General features: G+C 52.4%; 1 protein-coding gene and 1 long non-coding RNA gene across 20 annotated transcripts in view, besides 3 other annotated features; one reads left to right on the forward strand and one right to left on the reverse strand.

Moving 5' to 3' along the window:
* Positions 1 to 24112, forward strand: part of KAZN (kazrin, periplakin interacting protein) — a 1225220-nt gene that overhangs the window by 1020156 nt on the left and 180952 nt on the right. For 3 of the 19 annotated variants that reach the window (XM_011541075.3, XM_047415880.1, NM_001018000.4), the window contains exon 1: positions 11175 to 11593. The exons of 11 other annotated variants lie outside the window; for them this stretch is intronic. In XM_011541075.3, the coding sequence (XP_011539377.1) occupies positions 11386 to 11593 (208 nt within the window). In that variant the 5' untranslated portion in view covers positions 11175 to 11385. Of the gene's footprint in view, positions 1 to 11149; positions 11772 to 16760; positions 17066 to 24112 lie in introns of those variants that run through there. 5 more of the 19 variants (XM_011541077.3, NM_001018001.3, NM_001370231.2 and 2 more) reach the window with 4 other exon arrangements.
* Positions 9393 to 10912, reverse strand: LOC124903849 (uncharacterized). The gene is made up of 3 exons (XR_007065477.1): positions 10783 to 10912; positions 10222 to 10285; positions 9393 to 9474 (listed from the first exon to the last, which is right to left on the reverse strand). It is a non-coding gene; the product is annotated as an uncharacterized LOC124903849 (long non-coding RNA).
* Positions 10506 to 11005: an enhancer, noted in NCBI's record as "H3K4me1 hESC enhancer chr1:15249981-15250480 (GRCh37/hg19 assembly coordinates)". NCBI's record gives its function as "activates a minimal SCP1, AML or CMV promoter by ChIP-STARR-seq in naive H9 embryonic stem cells {active_cell/tissue: H9 hESC(naive)}" and the evidence as "EXISTENCE:reporter gene assay evidence [ECO:0000049][PMID:30033119]".
* Positions 11036 to 11215: a silencer, noted in NCBI's record as "silent region_293". NCBI's record gives its function as "represses an Ori minimal core promoter by ATAC-STARR-seq in GM12878 lymphoblastoid cells {active_cell/tissue: GM12878}" and the evidence as "EXISTENCE:reporter gene assay evidence [ECO:0000049][PMID:35858748]".
* Positions 21818 to 21994: a silencer, noted in NCBI's record as "fragment chr1:15261293-15261469 (GRCh37/hg19 assembly coordinates)". NCBI's record gives its function as "represses an EF-1alpha promoter that drives an FKBP-Casp9 reporter gene in an ReSE screen in both phorbol 12-myristate 13-acetate-treated (for megakaryocytic differentiation) and untreated K562 erythroleukemia cells {active_cell/tissue: K562 | K562(+PMA)}" and the evidence as "EXISTENCE:reporter gene assay evidence [ECO:0000049][PMID:32094911]".

Raw genomic sequence — 24112 nt, forward strand, 5'->3', positions numbered from 1 at the left:
TGGTAGCTATTGTTCTTTCCTAAGACCTGAGACACTTGGCAAGATGCGGAGGGGCTGGAGTGATGGAAGGAGCTTGTTAAGGTTGGCACGGGCAACTGGGAGGCCCCGAGCTAGACTTGAGAATCTTTAGGAGTGTGTGCTTGTGGTGCGCCTGGCACTGTGGGCACAGAGCAAGTTTAAACCCCTGCCCATGCCTTGTGTTTCAGGGGGAGTTGGGATTAGGCTCACCCAGCGGCTCTTGGGGTTGTACTTTACCCCAGGACTCCCTGAGTACCCCTCCACTGGGCCCCTGATCTGGGAGAAACATTCCACTCCCAAAGGTCAAGTCTTTAAAAACAAAAAGAAGGCAGCGCCTTTCGCATTTATCCAAACACATTTTTGCTTGTTTGTTTTAATGAGAAACTTCAGGGGGAAGATGCCAGTCCTTCCTACGTATCTGTTCAACAAATCTGCCTCCCGAAACCAGTTCCAAAGATATTTAAATAACAATCCTGGGAAAAGAAGAATTTAGAACAAATTCTAATTAGTCCCATTGGGACTAGGGGCCATTACAGATTTCTGCCCTGAGAACCCAGAGACCAGGGCCTAAGGTGACTTTCTGATGTCCAGAGTACAGAACTCTCTGCCTTACTGTCTGGGCTTGGCCCATGCTGGGGCCACTGAGGGCAAGGTAAGGCCCGTTCCCAACCTTGCTGGGCGTCTTTGTAGCCACCAAAGCCCCTAACCTGCCTGTGCAGGGGTGGTGGGGGCCCTGTGTGCTCTGCCTTGAGTTGGAGAAGCTAGGAGTCGCTCGGGCTGACGTGCCTGAGTTCTGGTGGGCGGGTAGACAGGCGGGCAGAGCCCATAATTATGGGGAAAGCAGCCGCAGGCGTGTGCAGACAGGCCTCCTGGAGCCCAGGCAGGTGGCCTCCTGACAAGGGAGGGCCTCTGCATTTGGACTCTGGGTGCAGAAGACCTTCAGGATGGAGGAGGGGATGTTACATAATTCCGACACCACAGCCACTGAAAACGCGACCTTGCCACGCTCCACTGCCTCCTTCCTCCCCACTCAGAGGGCATGAAGACCTAGCAGCCCTTCTGGGCAGGGCAGTGGCCCTCAGCTGTCACAGCAACAGGGTCACCTGGAGGGCTGTGGAAACAGACTGTTGGGCCTCGCCTCCTGGGTTTCTGATTCAGGAGGTCTGGGGTGGGGCCAAGAATTTGCATTTCTCCTCCATGCTCAGGAGAGATGCTGCTGCAGCTGATCAGGGGCCACACTTTGAGAACCGCTGCCCTAGGGCTTACCTGATTAGTCCCCCTGGCCCTTGATTTGCTGTACCCCCCTGGGCAAGTGTCTGCCTCTCTGGGCTTTGCATTTCTCACCCACCAACAGGAGAAAAGCCAGCTTTGTCTTTGAACAACTAAACCCCCATCGGTGTTGGGATGCCTAATTACTATTTGCCGGTAGCACAGAGATCTTCCCAGGAAAGGCCCAGGCACGACTACACAGGGGCTCTTACTCTATTGTTCCAACTTCCTTGTAGCCACTGAGGGAGATGAGTTTCTCTAGGAGAGATGGGCACTTTAAGCCTTAAAGGGACAGGCCTGGCCGGCATCCTTGGACCTCACCGCTGACCCAGCAAGAATCTGGAAGCAGTTCCCTAGCCTGCTCTTTGGGATCATTTTGTTGCCTTCGAGAATGGGTGGCAGGGGCTCCATCCCAGTCCCATTGATAATGGCATAATGGTTAAGAGAACAGGTTCTGGAGCCAGAACTTTCTAAGTTTGAATCTTAGCTCCACCTTATACTAGCTGTGTGATGTGGGGCAACCTGCTTAACCTCTCTGAACCTTGGATCCCTCATTGATAAAATGAGGATAGTAATAGCAATAGCACTTACATAGTACTGGTACTTACATAGTACTTCTGGGGATGAAAATGAGCTAATATTGGCCAGGCGCGGTGGCTCACGCCTATAATCCCAGCACTTTGGGAGGCTGAGGCGGGCGGATCACCTGAGGTCAGGAGTTCGAGACCAGCCTCAACATGGAGAAACCCCATCACTACTAAAAATACAAAATTAGCCGGGCGTGGTGGTGCATGCCTGTAATCCCAGCTACTCGGGAGGCTGAGGCAGGAGAATTGCTTGAACCTGGGAGGCGGAGGTTGCGGTGAGCCAAGATCGTGCCATTGCACTCCAGCCTGGGCAACAAGAGCGAAACTCCGCCTCAAAAGAAAGAAAAAAAGAAAAGAAAATGAGCTAATATGTGTAAACTGCTCTGTCTACTATTAATAGCTCTTAACAATCATGATTATATATCTGTGCATTGATTAATTAAATGGTAACTTTTAAGTAAGGAGTCTCCAGCAGAGTGCCTGGCATAGAGGTGGCAGTGCTCAGTAAACAGTAACTGTTATTCTTTTCTTGGGCCCCTTGCTGGCCCCTGGCCCTCTGTGTCTCTCAAATCACACGCAGGAAATGGAGACACAGAGTCTGAAAATTGCAATGGTGAACATAGTGTCACGATTCCCAGAGCCAAGGGTCCCACTTGGGGAAGAAGAAGTTCCGCTAGTAGCCACCAGGGGCAGCAGAGGACACATCCTGCCCAGCAGCACTGCTGAGGGTTCCCTCTGAGTCCCCCCTCTTTATGAAGAATGAAGAGGTGACTGTTCCCCGCTGCCCACAGGCATGCATTCTCCATAACCCCTGATGTGGGAGGCAGTTTCGCAGAGGATACCCCTCAATTCTGACAGACTCCCAACGCTGCCTTTTCCAGCCACATCACCTTGGATGAGTCCTTTTTGTCTCCCTAAACCTTCATTTTCTCATCTGGAACCTGGGGATAGGGTGGCTTGGCGGGTTGAATGAGCCGGAAAGCACAGTCCCTGGACTGATGTCAGTGCTCAGTAAATGACACCTATTGCCAAGGCAGCATCATGGCTATGAGTATGGACCTTGCAGCCAGACTACGTGGGCTTTAGTCCTGCTTCCATCACTTACTGGCTGTGTGACTTTGGGTAAGTGACTTGACCTCTCTGTGTCTGTTTCCTCATCTGTAAAGTGGGGATGATAATAATAGTACACTTACCTCTCTGGGTTGTGGGGAGGATTAAATTAATATTTAAATTCTTAGAACACTGCCTGGCACATAGTAAGTGCTATGTAAATGTTTGCCATTATTATTATTATTTGTAGTATTTTCACTGTTGTTCTTTTTTTTTTTTTTTTTTTGACAGAGTCTCGCTTTGTCACCCAGGCTGAAATGCAGTGGCATGATCTTGGTGCACTGCAGCCTCCACCTCCCGGGTTCAAGCGATTCTCCTGCCTCAGCCTCCCGAGCAGCTGGGATTACAGGTGTGTGCCACCATGCCCAACTCGTTTTTGTATTTTTAGTAGAGATGGGGTTTCACCATGTTGGCCAGGCTGATCTTGACCTCGGGTGATCCTGACCTCAGGTGATCCACCTGCCTTGGCCTCCCAAACTGCTGGGATTACAGGCGTGAGCCACCACACCCAGTCTATTCTTTTAATTCTCAATAAGCTGCAACATTTTAACTTTCTGCAGAAACTTTCCTACTTGAACTCTTCAAAAAGGGACTTAGAAAAGGTGAGATGTGGCCCCTGGATAAGGAAGGACTTTATTATTTTGTTACAATTAAGAATCTAACTTGGGGCCCACTGTGGTGGCTCATACCTGTAATTCTAGTGCTTTGGGAGGCTAAGGTAGGAGGACCACTTAACGCCAGGAGTTTGCGGCAGCTTGGGCAACACAGTGAGACCCTATATCTACAAAAAAAATTAAAAATTAGCTGGGCATGGTGGTGGCACACCTGTGGTCCTAGGTACTTGGGAGACTGAGGCAGAAGGATTGCTTGAGCCCAGGAGTTTGAGGCTGCATTGAGCCATCATCATACCACTGCATTCTAGGCTGGGTGACAAGCAAGACCTTGTCTCAAAAAAAAAAAAAATTTAACTTGGGGCTCGTGACAGTCCAACAAGCAGGGCATGAAGGCAGCTCCACCTGACACCTTGAACTCCATGAAATGGCTTGAATGGCCTGTTCTGCCCGAGGACTGGGCTAAGCTCTGCCTCTAGGAGAAGCCCTTTGCAAGGCCCTGGAGGAGATCAGGATTTCTGCCAGGTCATTTGGGGACCTGGGAAAACCATCAAAGGGTATCAGTGAGCCCATGAAAGGCCCACAGAAGTCTCTAGCCTCGCCAGGACAGATGGCAGGGTGGACCCCGAGTAAAATCCTCACCCCACCAAGGGCAAAGGTCTAAATAGGTTTGGGGAAAATCCAGCTCTAATCCTTCCCGATGCACCTGGGGTCCCAGAGTCCTGCTGGGATGGCCGAGGGAAGAAGAGGAGATCAGCACCATCCCTGCTGGTGGCCTCAGCAACAAAGGCGGCCCAGGGGCTGCCAAAGGGCTTCCAAGTCACTTTGGAGCCCCCAGGAGTGGACGGAGATGACAGTCTCCATAGAGATAGCAGGGAGTGTGTCCCGCTCAGAAGCCGTGGGCAGGTCACTCTGGCCTCCTCTGGGAATGTTTCACTAGCCCAGTTTTTGAGGATTTACCCTATGCCAGGCCCCATGCAGAGCTTTTTATGTGTGCCTCATCTCCTGAAGGCCCTTGCCACAGCCCGACAAGTAGTGACCATGATCATTTCCATTTTTACGGATGGAGAACCTGAGGATTCCAGGGATGAAATCATCTGTCTCAATCACACGCTAGTGATTTGCATCCTGGCCTCTCTGCTTCTAGAGACTGTGTCCCCAACTCACTGGGTGGGCAGCTTCCAAGATGACCCCAATGATCCTGCCTCCTGGTATCCACCTCAGTTTGTCTTCTCTCCTAGATTGGGGGTGAGATCTAAATGTACTTCTTTCTTTCTTCCTTCCTTCCTTCCTTCCTTTCTTTCTTTCTTTCTTTCTTTTTTGAGATGGAGTCTTGCTCTGTCGCCCAGGCTGGAGTGCAGTGGCGCGATCTCAGCTCACCGCAACCTCTGCCTCCTGGGTTCAAGCAATTCTACTGCCTCAGCCTCCCGAGTAGCTGGGATTACAAGCATGAGCCACCACGCCCGGCTAATTTTTGTATTTTTAGTAGAGATGGGGTTTCACCATGTTGGCCAGGATGGTCTCAATCTCTTAACCTTGTGATCCGCCTGCCTCAGCCTCCCAAAGTGCTGGGATTAAAGGCATGAGCCACTGCGTCTGGCCAAGATCTAGATGCACTTCTAATGAACAGAATAGGGAGAACAAGATGGGCTGTCCTGTCTGAGATTAGGCTGCAAAGAGACTGTGGCTTCCATCTCTTCTTGCACACCTTCTCTTCTCTTTCTTGGAGGCCTCTGTGGGAAGCAAGCTGCCATTCTGTGAGGAGATCTCACAGCCAATGAGGAACTGAGGTTCTCAGTTCAATATCCTGGGAGGAATGGGGCTGGCATGGTGGCTCACCCCTGTAACCCCAGCAATTTGGGAGACTGAGGCAGGTGGATCACCTGAGGTCAGGAGTTCGAGACCAGCCAGACCAATATGGTGAAACCCCATCTCTACTAAAAATACAAAAATTAGCCGGACGTGGTAGCACATGCCTGTAGTCCCAGCTACTCTGGAGGCTGAGACAGGAGAATTGCTTGAACTCGGGCAGCAGAGGTTGCAGTGAGCTGAGATTGCGCCACTGAAGTCCAGCCTGGGCGACAGAGTAAGACTCCATCTCAAAAAAAAAAAAAAAAAAAAAAAAAAAAAAAAATATATATATATATATATATATATATATATATATATATATATCCTGGGAGGAATTGCATCTTGCCACTAGCCTTGTAAGTGAGTTTGGTTTGGAAGTAGATTGTCCCTAGGTTGAGCCTCAAGTTGGCAGCAGCTCCACCTGACACCTTGATTGCAGCCTTTAAGAGACCCTGAACTGGAAGACCCAGCTAAGCCACACCTGGATTCCTGACCCATAGAAACTATGAGATAATCAATCCCTATTGTTTTAAACCACTGAGTTTGGAGGTGATTTGTTATGCAGCAATAGGTAATATACTTCCCATCACTACCAGCGACACACACACAAAACATACCCACGCAACTACCATGAGAAAGGATAAAAAAGAGCAAGTCAACTGCAGTGGGCAGAGCTAGAAAAACCCTCCTCACACCCGCAAAGCCAGCCCTTCGAACCTCCAGAACACTCAGATGCAGAGACAGGAGGCACTTTTTTGTTTGTTTGTTTTTGAGACAGTCTCGCTCTGTTGGCCAGGCTGGAGTGCAGTGGCACGATCTCGGCTCACTGCAACCTCCGCCTCCCAGGTTCAAATGATTCTCCTGCCTCAGCCTCCTGAGTAGCTGGGATGACAGGCGCGTTCCACCACACCTGGCTCACTTTTGTATTTTTAGGAGAGACAGGGTTTCACCATGTTGGCCAGGCTGGTCTCGAACGCCTGACCTCAGGCGATCCACCCGCCTTGGCCTCCCGAAGTGCTGGGATTACAGGCATGAGCCACCGCGCCCCTCCCGAGGCACTTTTTCATGGTCACACACAGCAAGGGATCCTGACATTGTGGCTGAGGTCTTCATACCCCCTGGAAAGTTTCACCAGGAGTTACAAAACTATGGGGTGTTACAAAACTCTGCATCTTCCAGGAATCAAGAGTTTACTGCTTTGTCTTAGCTAAAGGTGTTTGGAGATAGTAACATGTTGGCTGGAAGATCTCAGTAAAACATCTTCTACAAATAGAAACATAAAAACATTTGGGTCAATGATGGATCGATCGCATATCTGATGATGGTCCCGTAAGATTATACTGTATTTTTACTGTAGTTTTTCTGTTGAGATATGTTTAGATATATAAAAACTTACCATCGTGTTACAATTATCTACAGTATTCAGTACAGTGACATGTTGTACATAGGAGCAATAGACTATACCATATAGCCTAGGTGTGTAGTAGCTATCTCGTGTAGGTTGGGTAAGTACGCTTTATGATTGCACAATGACAAAATTGCCTACCAATGCATTTCCCAGAACGTCATTCTGCCTCTGTCCCTGTCCTTGTCATTAAGTGATGCATGACTATTTTAAAATCATAGCCAAATTGGGGGTGGGGGAAGGGAAAGAGTTCAGTGGGCTCAAATATTCAACTTTAAGCAGACACCAAACATAATGGGGTCTCTTAATACCATGTTTCTGGGTTTTGTTCCTTAAGCCAAATTTATCTTGTAGTCTTCTCCAGTGATCTAAAGGATGTTCCTCTGGGAACGAGGGGATGCTCTGGATGGGACCTGCACTTTTTTCTGTCTGCAGCCTCTTTTCTGTTTTTTTTTTTTTTTTTTTTGGGTGGCGCCCTGTCCAGCCTGAGGTCAGGGTCATGGGGACCCTGTCTGGCCTCAGAGCCCAGAACCAGAGCAGCCTCCCCACCCCCTGTCTGGACTGCCCCTTTCCCCTCTGAAGTCACACTATGCCTCTGCTCTTTAAAATGAGTTGCCGGGAGGACTGGATGAGGACACCTCCTGCTGTCTTTCCGGACCCCCAAATCCCCCCTTCCTGCTGCCCCACGGAGGCTGGACACAGTGTGCCCTGGAGCAGGACAGAGTGAGCCAAGTTGTATCCAGCCTCAATTCCCAGCATCTCCCAGGGGGTCTGGGAAGGTCTCCTGGAAGTAGAACTGGCTACATAATTGGTAGGTCCCAATGTTCAAAAATAATTAAGAATTTCAAGGCAACAACAGTGGAGCATTCACCCAAGCTCGGGGCCCTTCTGAGCACGGGGCCCAGTGTGACCACACAGGTCACATGCCCAGAAGCTGGCTCTGCAAAGGGATCTCCTCTAAACCCCCAAGAGTTATCATTTGTGTGGGACCTGCCCAAGCCACTCAGGGCAGAAAATGGGTAGGTTAGTCCTTGACTCCAGGGTCTCCTGGTGGAGAACTGAGCAGAAACATCTCCTGGGCTCAGGGCATCCTCATAAATGTACCTCAAGGTGTTTTTAATGTACCTCCCCACCCAAGACAGATGGGTTTCTGATAGGTTCCTAACTGCCACCGTGGCCACAGACTTGCCAGCTAGCAGAGTTGAGAGCAGGGAGAGTGAGGGGCTACAGCTGAGTAAGGGGGGCATGGGCAGCCTGGGAACCTCCAGAAAACTGGAGAAGCTGGACCCCACTGCCATCTGCAGTCCTGGGCCTGAGCATGCAACACACACACACACACACACACACACACACACACATTCACACAGAGCCACGGCCAAACTGCACTGAGTAAAAGTTACAGAGGGAATTCCCCAGGGTTGTGGCCTTACGAAGCAGCTTGGATGACTGAAAAGTAACTAGGACGTATGTGCGCTTCAGGAGGTTGCAGAGGGACCAGTGACGGTAGCGGTGAAATGGTCCCTGGTGGCCAATGGGCTACATAAAGACTTTTAGATATGTTTACTTTCTTCTTCCTCCGTCTCCTCTTCCTCCCTTTCCTTCTTAAGTTTTAAAGAGTTGCTAATGTTTCAAATTTAGATTTCATGTAAAAATCCATATTCCTAGTAGTTCTAAACAAACAAAAAAAAGTAGAACATCTGACAACACTAAGACTACATTCCTGCCTGACAACAATCTACAGCCTCCTCTACAGGGGCCGGTGGCCTCATTTGCCACAGTCCCCACCAGCCTAATGTCTCTCTGATACCAAATCCAAGTGACAGGAGCTACATACTCATACTTGTGCTGGGTTTTGTTTATAGGGGTTTTTTTGTTGTTGTTCTTGTTTGTTTGTTTTTTGAGACCAGGTCTCACTCTGTCGCCTAGCCTGGAGTGTGCTGGCACAATCTCGGCTATCTGCAGCCTCCCCCTCCTAGGTTCAAGTGATTCTCCTGCCTCAGCCTCCTGAGTAGCTGGGATTACAGGTGTGTGCCACCACTCCCGGCTAATTTTTGTATTTTTAGTAGAGACGGGGTTTCACCATATTAGCCAGGCTGGTCTTGAACTCTTGACGTCAAGTCACCCACCCTCTTCGGCCTCCCAAAGTGCTGGGATTCCAGGCATGAGCCACCATGCCCAGCCAGGTGCTATTTTTTTCTTGTTATGGAGTTAAGAGGAAAGCACATGTCTCTATCAAAAGTATAATTCATGTACTTCCAGAAATACGTGAAAGACTATGTTTCTTTGCGGAAGTGAAAAGTCTTCCTAAGTGTTTAATATGCCAAGAGTGTTTAAGTCAAAATAATATAACATAAATGCCCTTATGAAATAAACCACAGTAGCCCCTGCTCAACCCAGCTCACTCATTTATGTTCCCAGGCAGGTCCCTGAAGGTAACTCAGACAGTCCTGGACCAGATTCTCCAGGATGCAGGGGCTGGCAAGGGCATTCCTAGCTTCTCCGCTCTCGGGTGCTCAGAGTGATCATTCTTTTGTTCTGCTCTGTCTGTTATCTCAGTAAAGGAGAGGAATTAGGGGATTCCCAGCATCTCTGGTCACTTGGTGTGGTGTCAGTTTCCTTCCTCCTGGAAAAGTGGTGTGGGTACTTTTCTTCCACAGCTGGGAGCACCCAGCACTTCCCATGCCACTCTGCCGTCCTCTGGCGCAGTTAAAAGTGCACTTTGGGAGGCCGAGGCTGGCGCATCACCAGATCAGGAGTTCGAGACCAGCCTGACCAACATGGCGAAACCCTGTCTCTACTAAAAATACAAAAATTAGCCGGGCATGGTGGCGGGCACCTGTAATCCCAGCTACTCAGGAGGCTGAGGCAGGAGAATCGCTTGAACCCGGGAGGCGGAAGTTGCAGTGAGCCAAGATCACACCACCGCACTCCAGGCTGGGTGACAAAGCGAGACTCTGTCTCAAAAAAAAAAAAAAAAAAAAAAGTGCCAGCTAGACAGGGCAGGGGTTCTAAGGCAGCCTCCGCAGCTGGGCCAGTTTCCATCATTGGGAAGGTGAGGATGCGGGGGCGGGGGGAAGCTGGGAAGGCCATGATAGTTGGTGGCCAGGCCACTGTGGTTGCTGAGAGCCAGGGCTTCTGACCCATGGGCAGGAAACTGCTCCTAAAAGGTTTTGTAGACTTAAGGGAAAGTAATTAGGTTCTCACAGCTTGTTGGACAGCCATAGGCCAGTGACCTAGAAATTTGCACATCTCAGGCCTGGGCCAGTGGGAGCCTCAGATTATAGAGCCAAGCCTGGGCAGGGTAAGGTTGCTAGCATGCTGCCTACAAGGGGAGGCTGGGGGCTCCATGAGTGTGTGACTGACTCCTCACCTGGCTGTGTGGCCTCGGCTCCCGCGTGTCTACAACAGGGGGGAACTGGACCTGCCTCCTGGGGCTGTAAGGAGATAATTAGTCTTTCTAAACAGCATCGTAATCCCCAGATCAAAGGGGGCTCAGAGCTGCACACTTACTTCACAGGAGCACTGCCAGCCTGAACACCCACTCCAGCGGGTGGGTTCTGTTGTGCAGACCCTCCAAGGTGCCACTTCCTACAGGGTTTGCCTGGCCTTGTCACTGTTCCCCCACCCACTCCCAGGGTCCAGGCTCTGGCCTCCCCTGCCAATGGCTGCCATAGTTGGAGAGTTCATGGGCAGCACTGATAATGGACAGTGGGGAATTACTAATGCCTAACTCATAGATGGGGAAACTGAGGCTGGGGAAGTGAGGTGAAGTCACAGGGCCTCCCACCAGATCTCAGCCCCCTCGCGATCTCCCCCACCAGACGGTGGGTGCACTCAGCATTCCCCTCACTTAGAGGATGGCCGGTCACACGCAAAGATGAGCGAAGGAAAGGTCCCGGGGCTGCTCCCCTGCCCGCCCACTCCTTCTGACCTCTCCCGGTCAGCTGTGGGGACCTCGGCTCTCGGCAAGGCTGTCACAGGGTGTCAGGAGAGGAGAGAGACACAGCAAAGTGGGGTGCCAGGCAGAGGCCAGGGGCTTTCAAAGACCGGGGCTCGAGTTCCGTCACAGCCACCCCTGTGACATCGGCCGTCTTTCTGACCCTCCGTGTCCCCGGGAATGACCGCGTCGGGGATGCACCGAGTGGCGGGGGCCGGGCGCACAACGGGGCGACGCGGCGGCGCTCCCCGGGCACTGGGGCCAGTCTGGGCGCCGCGGCGGGGCGGGGGCGGGGCGGGGGCGGGGCGAGCCTCGGCAGTCGCCAGCCCGGAAGGAGCGGGAGGAGGAGCCGCGGGACTGAGAGCCGTTCCCACGTGAGAGGCTCCGCGGCCGAATTCCTCGCGTGCAGCAGGCGCGGACCGCCCGGCGTCCGGCCGGACTGAGAGCCCTGGTCCGGCGCGCGCCGCCGGCCGGGCGGGAGGCGGGGGCGGGCTCGGCTGCGCCCCGATGCGGCGGCGACCTCCGGGTCTGTGAGCCCGGCGCGCGCCGTCGGAGCCCCTCGCGCAGCCGCTGGTAGCGTCCCCCCGGGCACCCGGCATGCGGGCGGCCGACTCGGGCTCGTGGGAGCGCGTCCGCCAGCTCGCGGCGCAGGGCGAGCCGGCGCCTTCCTGCGGGGCGGGGGCCGGGCCCGCGCGGCCCCCGGGACCCGCAGCCTGCGAGCAGTGCGTGGACGCGGCGGGGCCCGGCGATCGGCCCCGCGCCGGGGTTCCCCGGGTCCGAGCGGATGGCGACTGCAGCCAGCCCGGTAGGTGCGCGCGGGGCGGGGCGGGGCGGGCGGCGCGGACACAGGCCCAGGAGCCGCCGGGGCCGGGCGCGCGAGGGCGCTCGGAGCCGGGATCGGGAAGCCGCTGGTGGCAAAGTTCTCGCAGCGCGCGGAGCCCCGAGCCCCGGGCGGGTGCAGCGGGAGGCGTGCGGGACGCAGAGTGAGTTCCTCGGCGTGGGGACCGGGGCTCGGGGGCTGCACCGGGGGGCCAGGACCGCGCTTGCCGGAGCCAGGCGATCCCGCGGCGCCTGGAGACCCAGCTCCGGGCTGGACCCCGCGTCTGCTGGGGGAAGCGTGGGAAAGGGGCCAGCCCTGCGCGAAGTTGGTTCGGCCCCCTGGGACCGCACCTGTGAGCCATGTGGCGGCCCCCGCGGAGTGCCGAGGGGAGCCCCCTTCACCGCCGCCCCTCCGAGGCGAAATTGATGCCTCGCATTTGCTAGGAGCGGAGAGATTGCTGCGTTTCTCATACACTTGAACTCCGAGTAATGCAGAAAGAGAAATTGCAGAGGTGGAGACACAAACGCAGTGATCTAATTGCGTTTGGTTGGCGAATCCGCCCCAAGTGGAGAACAGCGTTTTACTGTTAAAGTGTTCCCAGCGGGTGTGCCCGTTCCATCCCACTCAGGCCTGCGCTATCTCCCTTCCCCCTGCCCCTTCCCCCCAAGTTAGGGCATGGGGATGGGAGACAGGAACCCCTGCGTCATCTTGACTGGAGTAGGAAGAAACCTTAGAAGACGAAGGGCTTTTCTGAGAAGGGGCTGCCATCACCAGGTCCAAGTTCTGAATACTTTTTCCGGGAAAAACGGGAGGGGGAGGCACAACATAATTATTCCTTATTCATCGAACACCTATTGTGTTCTAGTAATTCACATGCAACACATCCTTAAAATCTTATCACAACCCTGGGAGTGAGGCTGTGTTATCTCCATGCAGATGAGGACAGAAAAGCCCGGAGGTTAAGCGACTTGCCCAAGTTCCCAGAGTCCTAAATCATGGTGTTGGAATTCCCAGTTTTGTCCGTGGAAATCCAAAGTCTTAGCACCATAATACCTCTCCCAGGCAGCAAGCTCACTAGCTGGGGAGCACACGGGCTTATTTTCCTAATAATCATTTCTTTCCTGTAAGAAAAAAGCCAACCACAAGGCCCCCTATTCTTGTTTTTGCCTATGGTAGCCTCCCCAGGAGATGGAATGCCGCCTCTGGGTGTCAGGGCAGAGTAGTCCTCTCTCCTGTGTTGGAGTTTTCCTTTTCCCACCTTCTCCCCAGTTACACACGGCAGAGTCCAAGACGGGTTGAGGTAAAACAGCATCGATGCGAAAAGGAAGCAGATGGGAGAGTTTGGTCAAGTTGCTTCATCTTTTTGAGACTCAATTTACCCATCTGTACAGTGGAAATAATAATAGTACCAACTAAAGATCTGTCATTCCAAAGATGGTGTCTGTAAAACACCTTGCCTCATTCACCATAAATGCTTAATGCATGTTAGTCCTCAGCTCCTTCTGGCATTACATGCTTGCCAGATGACCTGTCAGTGCTCCCACTGACTCAGTTTCCCATTAGATTGTGGCGCTCTCTGCTCCATCTCCACCCTCATGAACTATGTCAAGATGACTTTTGTCTTGTCTGTAAAATACTAAAGTGATCTGAGGCTGAGTGTTGTGTCAGTGGGAGTTGTTTTCATGTAAACATGTACAGGAGATGGCTAGGTGGAGATAGGGCTGTTTACTTTGTGTCTCTATAGACTCCATTTGTGTGTTCATCATAATATCCTAATGACACGGTATAGCCCAGGAATGCCTGTTTCCTAGGTCTAGGGGTGGTTGTTATTCCTGCAGCCCTCATGGTATGTCCGTTTTAAAAGACAGCACATTGGAAAACTCTTTTCCCAGTTTACAGATGACATCACTGGCATGAAACAAGATCAGACCAGCAGCTAAACCAGAAAGTTTTGAGTTTTCTCTACCCTACTGCCCTTCACCCTTTCTGGTCTCTGGTTCTTAAAGACCAAATCGAGTTTCTGAGAACTTCCATGATGGCTAGGCATTGAGGACAGCCTGCCGTGGAAATGGTTCTGAAACCATCGGCTGTTACAAGGGGCTTTCCTCTAGGAGGGCGATGGGAACTCTGGCTCAAAGCTGCAAGCTGAACTTGTTGCTGAAATAAACATTTCAGCCAGGCTGTGCGGTGGCTCTTCCTCGAATCTCAGCACTTGATCCCAAGTCAAATGTGGTGCTCAGTTTAAGGAGCTGAAAGAGGTGCCCTGTTGGATGGGAGAGTCTGTGAATTGGCACTTTCAGAGATGTGGGGAAGGGAAAAGATAGAGGGGGATGCTGGCTTGGTGGGATGGAGGCCCGAACACCTTGAATTGCTCAGGGAGAATGTCCTGAGATCGGCAGGTGATGGCCCTGTGATGGTGACAGCTCTGACCTCCAGGGTGCGTGACCCAGGGACTAGAGCAGGAGGTGCAGACAGTGGATGTTTGCACAATCCGCACCTGCTTCTGCCTCGATTGCGTTTTACTCTGAGATGTTCCACAACTCACTTTCCCTGTTGGCACCAAGGGAATAACTCCTTCTGAAGGACGGATCATTCCAGAGCCCCCTCAGAGTGAACCAGGTGCTCACTGGAGGTTCTTAAACTGGGAACAGGAATCCGGTTCTTTGATCTTTCATTGTCCATTCATTCGGTCACATTTCTTGAGCATCTGCTCCGGGCCAGGCACTGTTGTAGCTGCCAGGGATATGGCAGCAAAGGAGATGACTGCAGCCCTGGTTTCCATGGAGCTTATAGTCTGTGGGAGGAGATTTCCAGTAGGCAAATAGGCACAGGATATGTCCAGAGATGGTGTAAGTGCTATGCAGAAAAATAAAGCCGGGGAGGGGTTAGAATGATGGGAGCAGGTGCTGCTTAGTTTTTAGGTAGGGTGGACAGAGGAGCACGTTCTAGAATGAAGTGAGGTGTGTGGGTGCTGAGTTTCTAAGGCAAGAGGGTGTTGCCGATCAGCTAAAGGAACTAAGCCATTTTTAAAAGGTGGTGGGAAATTAGTATCTTTGTAGACGAGGCACTCTACAGGTCTGTAACTGAAGCATCTGCACTCTAACCCTTTTGCTCCATTTGGCATTTCTCTTAACCCCGAGCTCAGAAAGCCACGTGGCCTTATTCTGCCTCTTCACATCCTCTACCTTTTTAAAATTCTGTATTATTTTATTACGATGATCATTTGGGTTCTTATCACTTCTTGCCCCTCCCCTTTACATGAAACCCGCGGTTGAGGGGACTGGGGCGCTTGTGTGTCTTTGTCTTTGTGTACCGGCTCCCAGCACTGTACCCTTCTGGGGACCAGTTGTGTCGTGAACGAAACAGGATGCCTTGTCTTCATGGGTCCTCCCAGCAACCCAATGGGGAAGTGCAGTTGCTAATCCCATCCACAGATGGGGAAACTGGTCCTTAGAACAGTTCAGTAACTGCCCAAAGCCACACAGCCAGTGGATGTCCCAACCGGGAATTTATCCCAGACCGTAGACCTCAGCAGTATGGAAAGACTTCACGTTGCTCTTAAGAAAGTAGACCCACATTATGGCGGGGCGCAGTGGCTCACACCTGTAATCCCAGCACTTTGGGAGGCCGAGGCGGGCGGATCACGAGGTCAGGAGATCGAGACCATCCTGGCTAACACGGTGAAACCCCGTCTCTACTAAAAATACAAAAATTAGCCGGGCGTGTTGGCGGGCGCCTGTAGTCCCAGCTACTTGGGAGGCTGAGGCAGGAGAGTGTCATGAACCTGGGAGGCGGAGCTTGCAGTGAACCGAGATCGTGCCACTGCACTCCAGCCTGGGCGACAGAGCGAGACTCAGTCTCAAAAAAAAAACAAAAAAAAAGAAAGTAGACCCACATTGTTTCTGGTCTCTTTTTCCTTTAAATTTTTATCCTTAAAAAAAAAGTTTGTCCTCTCCTTGACATTCCTTGTTTTAAGCAACGCAAGCATTTGCTTATCTTCCTGCTGTTAGCAATTTCAGTGGGAGGTCTGCTCTCTGTGAGCCGTTCTGAGAAGAACTTGTGCTGGGACTGGATGAGATGCAATCTCCACTGCTTGGAATTAAGAATGGTTTTACGAAGCTGCCCACTAGGACCCATTGGTGGGTTTCGTGTGAGCATACTTCTGCTAGCAGGGCGAGGGCAGGATGGAGGCAATGGAGGGCTTGGTTCTTCTGGACAATCAGGGTGAAAGCCACTGCTGAGATCCATTTCCCTGAGGAGTCTCAACCTGTGGTCCGGCACCCTCTGCCCTCCACCCTGTGTTGTGGTCCAGTGTGATGGACTGAACTTTATCCTTCTGCCAAGGCTGGTGGCACGCCATAGTGGGTACAGGGCACCAGTTTTGGAATCAAACACACACTGATTTGAATTTGTCAGCTCTGCTCCTTACTAGCTATATGCCCCTAAGCAAGTTATTTAATGTCCCAAGCCTCAGTTTACCCTTCTGTAAAATGGAAATTGTATTACCCACCTCAGAGTTGTTGGAAATTGGACAGGAATCTGTGTGATTAGCATCCTTTCCCCCTGTGGGGCCTGATGCTACCCATGCCATAAGGAAGGAGGGGGAATTCCTATTCCTCTAGACTCCAAAGGACTTGATGTATATGTGTTTAAAATATATATAATACATTTTCTTTTATTTTTGAAGTTTGAAATATTGGGATTTACTCAAACAGGTGACTCCAAAGGGCTGCTAGCTGCTTATTTGGCTTTCTGAGTCATCACGAAATCTCCATAATGGGCACCAAGCACCATTTATGTTCTTTGTAATACTCCAGTTGAGTGAACTGGACAATTTGCCAGGACCCTCCAGCCATTCTGGAGGAAGAAGAGTTTGTTCATTTTTTAAATCATCTCAAGAGGAAAATAGCACCCCTGGCTCTGGGGTTAGCCTCCCTCATCTGTAACACAGCAAGCTGACAAAAATGGAACGTCAGCACATTTGCATGTAGACAGATTTTAGTCCCAGCAGATAAGCACACCCAACATGTCATTAAACCCGGCCGAAGCCATCGCCCTGGGGATCCCGTGTTTGCTGTGAGTCACTAAGGGCTGTAAACACTCCAGAGAGACAGGCATGGTTATAAGGGGTGTGCGGGCGTGGAGTTATTTTAATGGATTTACTCTCCGTGAGTGCGTCTTATGTTGCGGGTGCCAGATGAGTGCCTTTCAAGGGAGAGGGAAGGTCAGGCTTGCCTCCTGTTCACAAGGACAACCTCTGTCTCCCTTGTGGCGGCTTCTATGAAGGTGGGGACTCCAGGCTTTCTCTCGTCTGCTTTTTGGATGCCTTCAAGAGAGGCCAGTTAGAGGATATCAATTGTGGCAATTCCCCAGAGCCCTCATCAGATGGCATTAGCCCGTCATGTGCTGCAGTGGCACCCAGTTTGGAGGAAATTCGGAACCAGAAGAGTGTGACAGGTACGTGAGTGCTGGCCGCTGTCCCAGCCCTGAACTGGCTGACACTGAGTCTGGCCTAAGCAGCGGGGAGCTGGTGGGCTCTGGGTGGGGCCCGTCCTCAGTCTACGTGCTGGACACTGGGGACTGTTTTGGGAAACACCCTCCACCTGGCACCAGGTGGGTAATCTGCCGGTGCCCGTGGTCTCGTCTTTTGTTGCTTCTTGGATTCGGAGGCTGGCTCAGGCTCCCAGCTAGTTTGGGCTGTAACTTTATCACAGGCATTCACTGTGTTCACTACCTTTTAATTGTACAGAAGTTTCAGAAAAGCTCTCCTGGGGAATTGGAGAGAAGTAAAAACAACAGCTGCTATTTCCCGGATGCTTTATTCCCTCCCCTCACAGCACAGCCTCAGCAGCATGTTCCTGACTTTGAAGTTCTATGTGCCCAGGCTGGGAAGAATGTGGATTTTCGCTCAGTCGGGTCCCATTAGTGTGGAAGGATCATTGACTGAGGGCCGAGCAGGAACCAAGCACCTTGTTACATGTGTTCCTTTTGATCCCCCTCTTCCTGTCAGGCAGCTGCCATTCTCCCCATCTTACGGGTGAGACCACTGAAGCTTGGGAGAGGTTACACCGGCTGTGGAAAGTAGCTGTTCCAGGCTGCCATGCTGCCCTCCTGGGACCCTTCCTCCTGCAGTTTCCTTGTCAGCTGACGATTCCCCGGGCTACCAGGCCACAGAGCGGAGGCTGAGCTGCCGAGAGTCACAGGACTTTTCTTCCTGGCACCTTCGGCTCACTGGCTTGCCAATCAGCCAGAGCCAGTTGGGAGGGGGGAACCCTGGGGGCCCAGAGTGGCCCCCGATCTCTGTCAACAGGAGACTCTGCCCCTGCCCCTTCACCCCAGCCCGAAGCCAGAGGCAAGCTGGCTCCTGACGGGAGACTCCCCCGCCACAACCATTTGGAAATCTAGAATGCAGAGCCCTGAGAGGGAAACCTCTGCAGGGATGGGGTGAACCCGTTTCCTCTACTAGGTGAGGAAACTGAGGCCCGAGGCTGGGAAGGGACCATACTCCAGGGTGTCACACAGGGAGGCTTCCAGGGCCAGATATGAAACCTTAGAAAAGGTATGGGAGGCTGGGCTCGATGGCTCACACCTGTAGTCCCAGCACTTTGGGTGGCCGAAGCAGGCGGAGCACTTGAGGTCAGGAGTTCAGGACCAGCCTGGGCAACATGGTGAAACCCCATCTCTACTAAAAAAAAAAAATACAAAAATGAGCCCAGCATGGTGGCGCATGCCTGTAGTCCCAGCTACTCGGAAGGCTGAGGAAGGAAAATTGATTGAATCCAGGAGAAGAGGCAGAGGTTATAGTGAGCTAAGATCATGCCACTGCACTCCATCCTGGGCAACAGAGCAAGACTCTGTCTTTAAAAAAAAAGAGAGAAGTCATGGGAATGTCTTGGCAGCACTGGAAATTTTCACCCTTTACCATCTTCCCAGCCCTCTCTGACCCATTCAAGGAGGGTCTCAGACTTCAGGGATTGCAGCGGTCTGGGGTGCTTGCTAAGGTATAGATTCTCAGGCTCCCCTCCTCCCCCGCCAGGAATCTGGATTTGTATCAAGTACCCTGCGTAATTTTGGCATTCCACAGATCAGACATTGAGAACCTCTGCCCTTTGCTTTCCTGGGATTGGGTTAATTTTTTTAGAGTAAGAAACCCAGGAGGGCACATACTCTGGTTTACACTGTGTTGCCCAGGCTGGAGCACAGGGACGATTCACAGGCACGATCAGGGCACGCTAGCACCTTTTCACTCCCACCAGTGGCCCAAAGTACACAGTCAGGTAGATGGACATCTAAGTTAAATCTCGCTTTTTTTCCTCTTTATGCCAACCCCTGTCCGGGCACGCGTGTTCCCAGAATCTACTAGAAAGAGGCACGTGCCTTTCTCAGTCTTGTGAACTCACAAGACTGCCGTGCAGTGAGAGAACACATGGAGGCTTTGGTGGTAGCTGTTTGGATACCCTGCTCCCGGCTCCAGGCTGCCCACCAGCACCCCGTGTTTCCCGTTCACCCTGAATTCCTGGCTCCTTGAGCCCCGCAGAGGAGCCAAGGCGCTGGGCAGGGTGCTAAGGAGACAGAGGAGACCAAACTCTTGTCCTGTGATTCACCTCTGGGCCGCCTGTGGGGCCTGTTCGTCCATGCTCCCCACTATGGCTCCCCACCCTCCCCGCCCCGTCCCCTGCCCCGGGTCCCTTTCATTGTCGGGCGTGATGCCGTTCAGGTGGTCAGACATCCAGCTGGGTGCTTGTCTGTGCTTCCTCTGGCATCTCTACCTGTGTCAGCCAGACAGTGGAGAGCCACGTGGGGGAGTTTCTATTTACTCTCTACCCTTTGGGGAGGGAAGCCAAGGGGCCTGGGAGGTTTCGAGGAGAGCCTGCGTGGGGCCCTCCCCTGCATGGTAGCCCCTGGGCTTAAATGCAGCTAGTACGACTGAAGAACTGAGCTTTAAATTGTACTTAATTGTAAAAGGCCCCATGTGGCTAGAGGCTCCCATGTTGGAGCTGGCCCTGAATCAGGGCATGAGGCTCATGAGTGTTTCCAAGGCCCGTCTTAGCTTGGGAAGCCTGAGATGTGTGTTTTTCCACCGACAAGATGTGTGTTTTCCACCCACAAGGAGCTGAGCCCTGACATCGGTGGGCTCAAATGCAGAGTCCCACCCCAGAAACTGACTCCAGGGTGGAGTTCAGAACCCTGCACTTTTTTTTTTTAATTGAATTTTTTGTATTATGGTAAAATGTATGTAACATAAAATTGACCATTTTAACCATTGTTCGATATTCAATTTAGTGGCATTAAGCGCATTTACAGTGTTGAAGGGCCATCACCACAATCCATTTCCAAAATTTCTTCATCACCCCAAACAGAAACCATGGCCCATTAAACACTAACTCTCCATCCCTCTCCCCAGCCCCTGCCAACCACCATTCCAGTTTCTGTCTGTATGTGTTGGCCTGTTCCAGGTACCTCATCTAAGTAGGATCACACCGTAGTTGCAGGGTTCTGCACTATTTATTTCTTTATTTATGAGATGGAGTTTCGCCCTTGTTGCCCAAGCTGGAGTCCAATGGCACAATCTTGGCTCACCGCAACCTCTGCCTCCTGGGTTCAAGCGATTCTCCTGCCTCAGCCTCCCAAGTAGCTGAGATTACACACATGTGCCACCACACCTGGCTAATTTTTTGGATTTTTAGTAGAGACAGGGTTTCACCATGTTAGCCAGGCTGCTCTCGAACTCCTGACCTCAGGTGAGCCGCCTGCCTCGGCCTCCCAAAGTGCTGGGATTACAAGTGTGACCCACCATGCCCGGCCAGGTTCTGCAGTTTTAACATACAGTCCATTCCTGCCCCACCGCTGATGGTCCTGGAACCACATCTGGAAGTACCTTGTCTTAAGTGTTTTATCCCCAACATGTCTCACACTTCCCTTAGCCCTTTAAACAGGGCTCCCTCACAGGTGCACTGGGAAGGTTTGGGGAAGATGTAAATCCAGGTATCTTTTTCCAATAATTAAAATCAGCACCTTGATATGTCTCTGGCATTGTGATGTACATTTTAATTCTTATTTTAGAGACAAGGTTTCACTGTGTTACCCAGGCTGGTGTGCAAGGGCTGTTCACAGGCATGATCATTGCATACTACAGCCTTGAACTCCTGGTTTCAAGCCATCCTCCTGCCTCAGCCTCCCAAGTAGCTAGGACTACAGGCATGTGCCACCACACCCAGCAGCATCACTTTTGTCTGTTTGTGTGGGATGTAGCTTTTTTTTCTTTTTTTTTTTTTTATGAGACGGAGTCTTGCTGTGTCACCCAGGCTGGAGTGCAGTGATGTGATCTCGGCTCACTGCAAGCTCCGCCTCCCGGGTTCACGCCATTCTCCTGCCTCCGCCTCCCGAGTAGCTGGTTAGCTAGGACTACAGGCGCCCGCCACTACGCCTGGCTATTTTTTTGTATTTTTAGTAGAGACGGGGTTTCACCGTGTTATCCAGGATGGTCTCGATCTCCTGACCTTGTGATCCGCCCGCCTCGGCCTCCCAAAGTGCTGGGATTACAGGCGTGAGCCACCACGCCCAGCCAGGATGTACCTTTTTAAAAAGAGAAATGATTGGGGTTTTTGTCAGTTTTCTTTTCTTTTTTTTTTTTTCTTTGAGATGGAGTCTCGCTCTGTCACCAAGGCTGGAGTGCAGTGGTGCGTCTTGGCTCACTGCAACCTCCGCCTCCCAGGTTCAAACAATTCTCTGCTTCAGCCTCCCGAGTAGCTGGGATTACAGGCGCCTGCCACCACGCCCGGCTAATTTTTGTATTTTTAGTAGAGACGGGGTTTCACCATCTTGGCCAGACTGGTCTTGAACTCCTGACCTTGTGATCCACCTGCCTTTGCCTCCCAAAGTGCTGGGATTACAGGCGTGAGCCACTGCGCCCGGCCCTCCTTTTTCATAGCATATTTGTGACTGCTAAGCCCCAGGACCACTCCTTGCCCTGGGGTTTTGAACAGAAGGGCACCTGCTGCTTAGACGCTGTAGTGTAGGGAGACAACCTTTCCTTCAGTATGAGACAGATTTTCTGTTCAGCAACGGGACAGGCTGCCCTGGGAGGCAGTGGGTTCCCCAGCACTGGAGGCATCAGGCAGGGACTGGGTGTGCCCCATCAGGGTACCAGAGTGGTCATTTGGGGGCTGATGCTGGCCAGTATCCATCTAAATACTCAATTGCCCATCCTGGCCTCCAGTCGCCCCCTCCATCTCTCCTTTCAGAGAAGGGTGGGGAGGTTGGGCCAGCCAGGTCTGTGGCCCTGCAGCCACCTTCACACCATGAGCGTTCCCTGCTGCCCAACAGCTTCAAACATCCCAGGCTGAGGGTCATCGCTGATCTGGGGTAGCCCTTCTTCTAGCGCCGGGGGCCTCTGTGGCATTCCCGTAAACCTCCCTGGCTGGGGAGGAGTTGCTGGACTTGCATTTCCACAGTGCCAGCCCTCAGCCTTCCTGTGCTCCTTCCAGGCCCTCCTGGGTGCACCAGCGGCTGACCAAGGGGCAAACCTGCATCCCTGGTTTTCCCTCTGCAGGGACAGAGGCTACCCCTTGGGTTCTGGAGCAGTCACGGATGCCTCCCCTGCCAGTCTGGCCTGACTTCTCCCTCCCACCAGGGTACAGTGGTTCTTTCTTTTTTCTTTCTTTCTTTTTGAGACAGAGTTTCACTCTTGTTGACAAGGCTGGAGTGCGGTGGCGCAATCTTGGCTCTCTGCAACCTCTGCCTCCTGGGTTCAAGAAATTCTCCTGTCTTCCTAGCATCAGGGGCCCTACTGTGTCCTTTGTGCCTTTGCCCCCAACCCCCAGCCCCATCCCCCAGAACCGCTTGAGCTGGACCATCGATTCTCAAGGTGTGCCGCCAGGACCAGCAACATCAGCAGTGCCCGAGAACATATTAGAAATGCAAATTCTCTGTCCACTCCGGACCTACAGAATCAGAAACTGGGGGTGGGCCCAGTCTGGGTGTTAACAAGCCCTGCAAGGCGATGCTGATGTAACTATAGTCTGAAAGCAGCCACTGAGCAAGGTGGCTCTAGAAAGCTTTTTCCACTTCTATTTTTCCTCTCTCCCTCCCTCTCCCCTCTCCCTTCCCCTTCTCCCTGTACCCTGGCCTGTTCCCTGCCCAGCTGCCAAGGGCTGGTTGGCCCTTCTATGCCTAGGGGCTACTGGATGTGTCACTAGATGGTCTGTCTGCCTTTCACAAGGGCCTTCAGAGATCCTGGCCTTACCCATGGGACAGCCCTAATGGTGATGTTGGTGGGGCAAGCGGAGCTGCAGCCTATAGCACCCCCGCCCCATCTTCTCTCCCAACATCCCAGGTGGTGGCCGCCTGCTCCCCAGTGCCAGAATTTTAGAAGAGCAGAGGGCCAGATGGGCCCATTTCCCTGGAGCCTCCAAGCCCCCCTGCCCTTGGGGACGCCTGGACGACATCCGCCCATCCCACAGCTGTGCTCAGCAGACATTGCTTTTCCATGTCATGTCTCTCCAGTGTGTGGAAAGGCAGGGGAGGTGACGGGCAGAACATCAACCCTGGCTTTGCAGATTACCTGCTGTGGGACCTTGTACAGTTCACTCACCCTCTGGACCTGTGTCCCTGTTTGGTGAAATGAAATCATAGTGTCAGCCTGGCCTAGCTCACGGATCTGTGGTTGCTTTACGAGAGCCCGTGGATTTGGAAGTGCTTCACTCACTCTGAGGCACATTAGAGATGCGGTTGGTACCATCAGATGCAGTTGGTATCATCGGTTGGTAGCTGTAGGATGCTGGTGAAGACAGACCTGTACCTGGGGCGACCAAATTGTCCTGTTTTTCTCAGGACTTTCTTGGTTCTAGCACTGGACATCCCGCACCATGGGATATGCCTTGGTCTCAGGCAAACCGGGCTGGTTGATCACTGGGTGCCCTGCTCCACTGTGCCAGCCATACTCGGCTACTTTTGCCATATAGAAAGGGATCCCTCCACCCTCCCAGCAGTTAAGGCCTCACCTACCTGCTCCGCCCCCTTTTAGATTCCCTGATCACTTTGATCCTTCCTCATCCCATAAGTACTTACCAGGCCCCCACTGGGCGCCTGGAACTGACAGCTGAGCAGGACGAACCCTACTTTCATGGCACTTATATTCTGGAAGAGGGTTTTTTTCTGCCTAAAACTCCTGACTGAAACCAGAAAGGAAAGATACCCTCCCTCACCCTGTCCCCAGATGCGACAAGCCTCCTTGTTCATCCACATGGCGGGCATCCAGCACCTGCTCTGTTCTCGGTTTTGTGTGAGGCTCCATAAACGTGACAGTCCCCCTTCTGTCTCCAGTGGAGAGGAGCTCAGGGCCTGTCTGTCCCATGAACCACCCTGGCTCATTCCTACCCTTCACCTTGCTAGTTCTTGCCTCTGTTATCTTCCCACCCCGAACTAAGTCCACATCCCTCCCCATCCTGGGCCCCCAACCTTTCTGTGAGCCTTTCTTGCTCATTGCAGCCCCTCTGGGCATAA

This window comes from Homo sapiens, chromosome 1, assembly GCF_000001405.40.
Source record: "Homo sapiens chromosome 1, GRCh38.p14 Primary Assembly".
Lineage (NCBI taxonomy): Eukaryota > Metazoa > Chordata > Mammalia > Primates > Hominidae > Homo > Homo sapiens.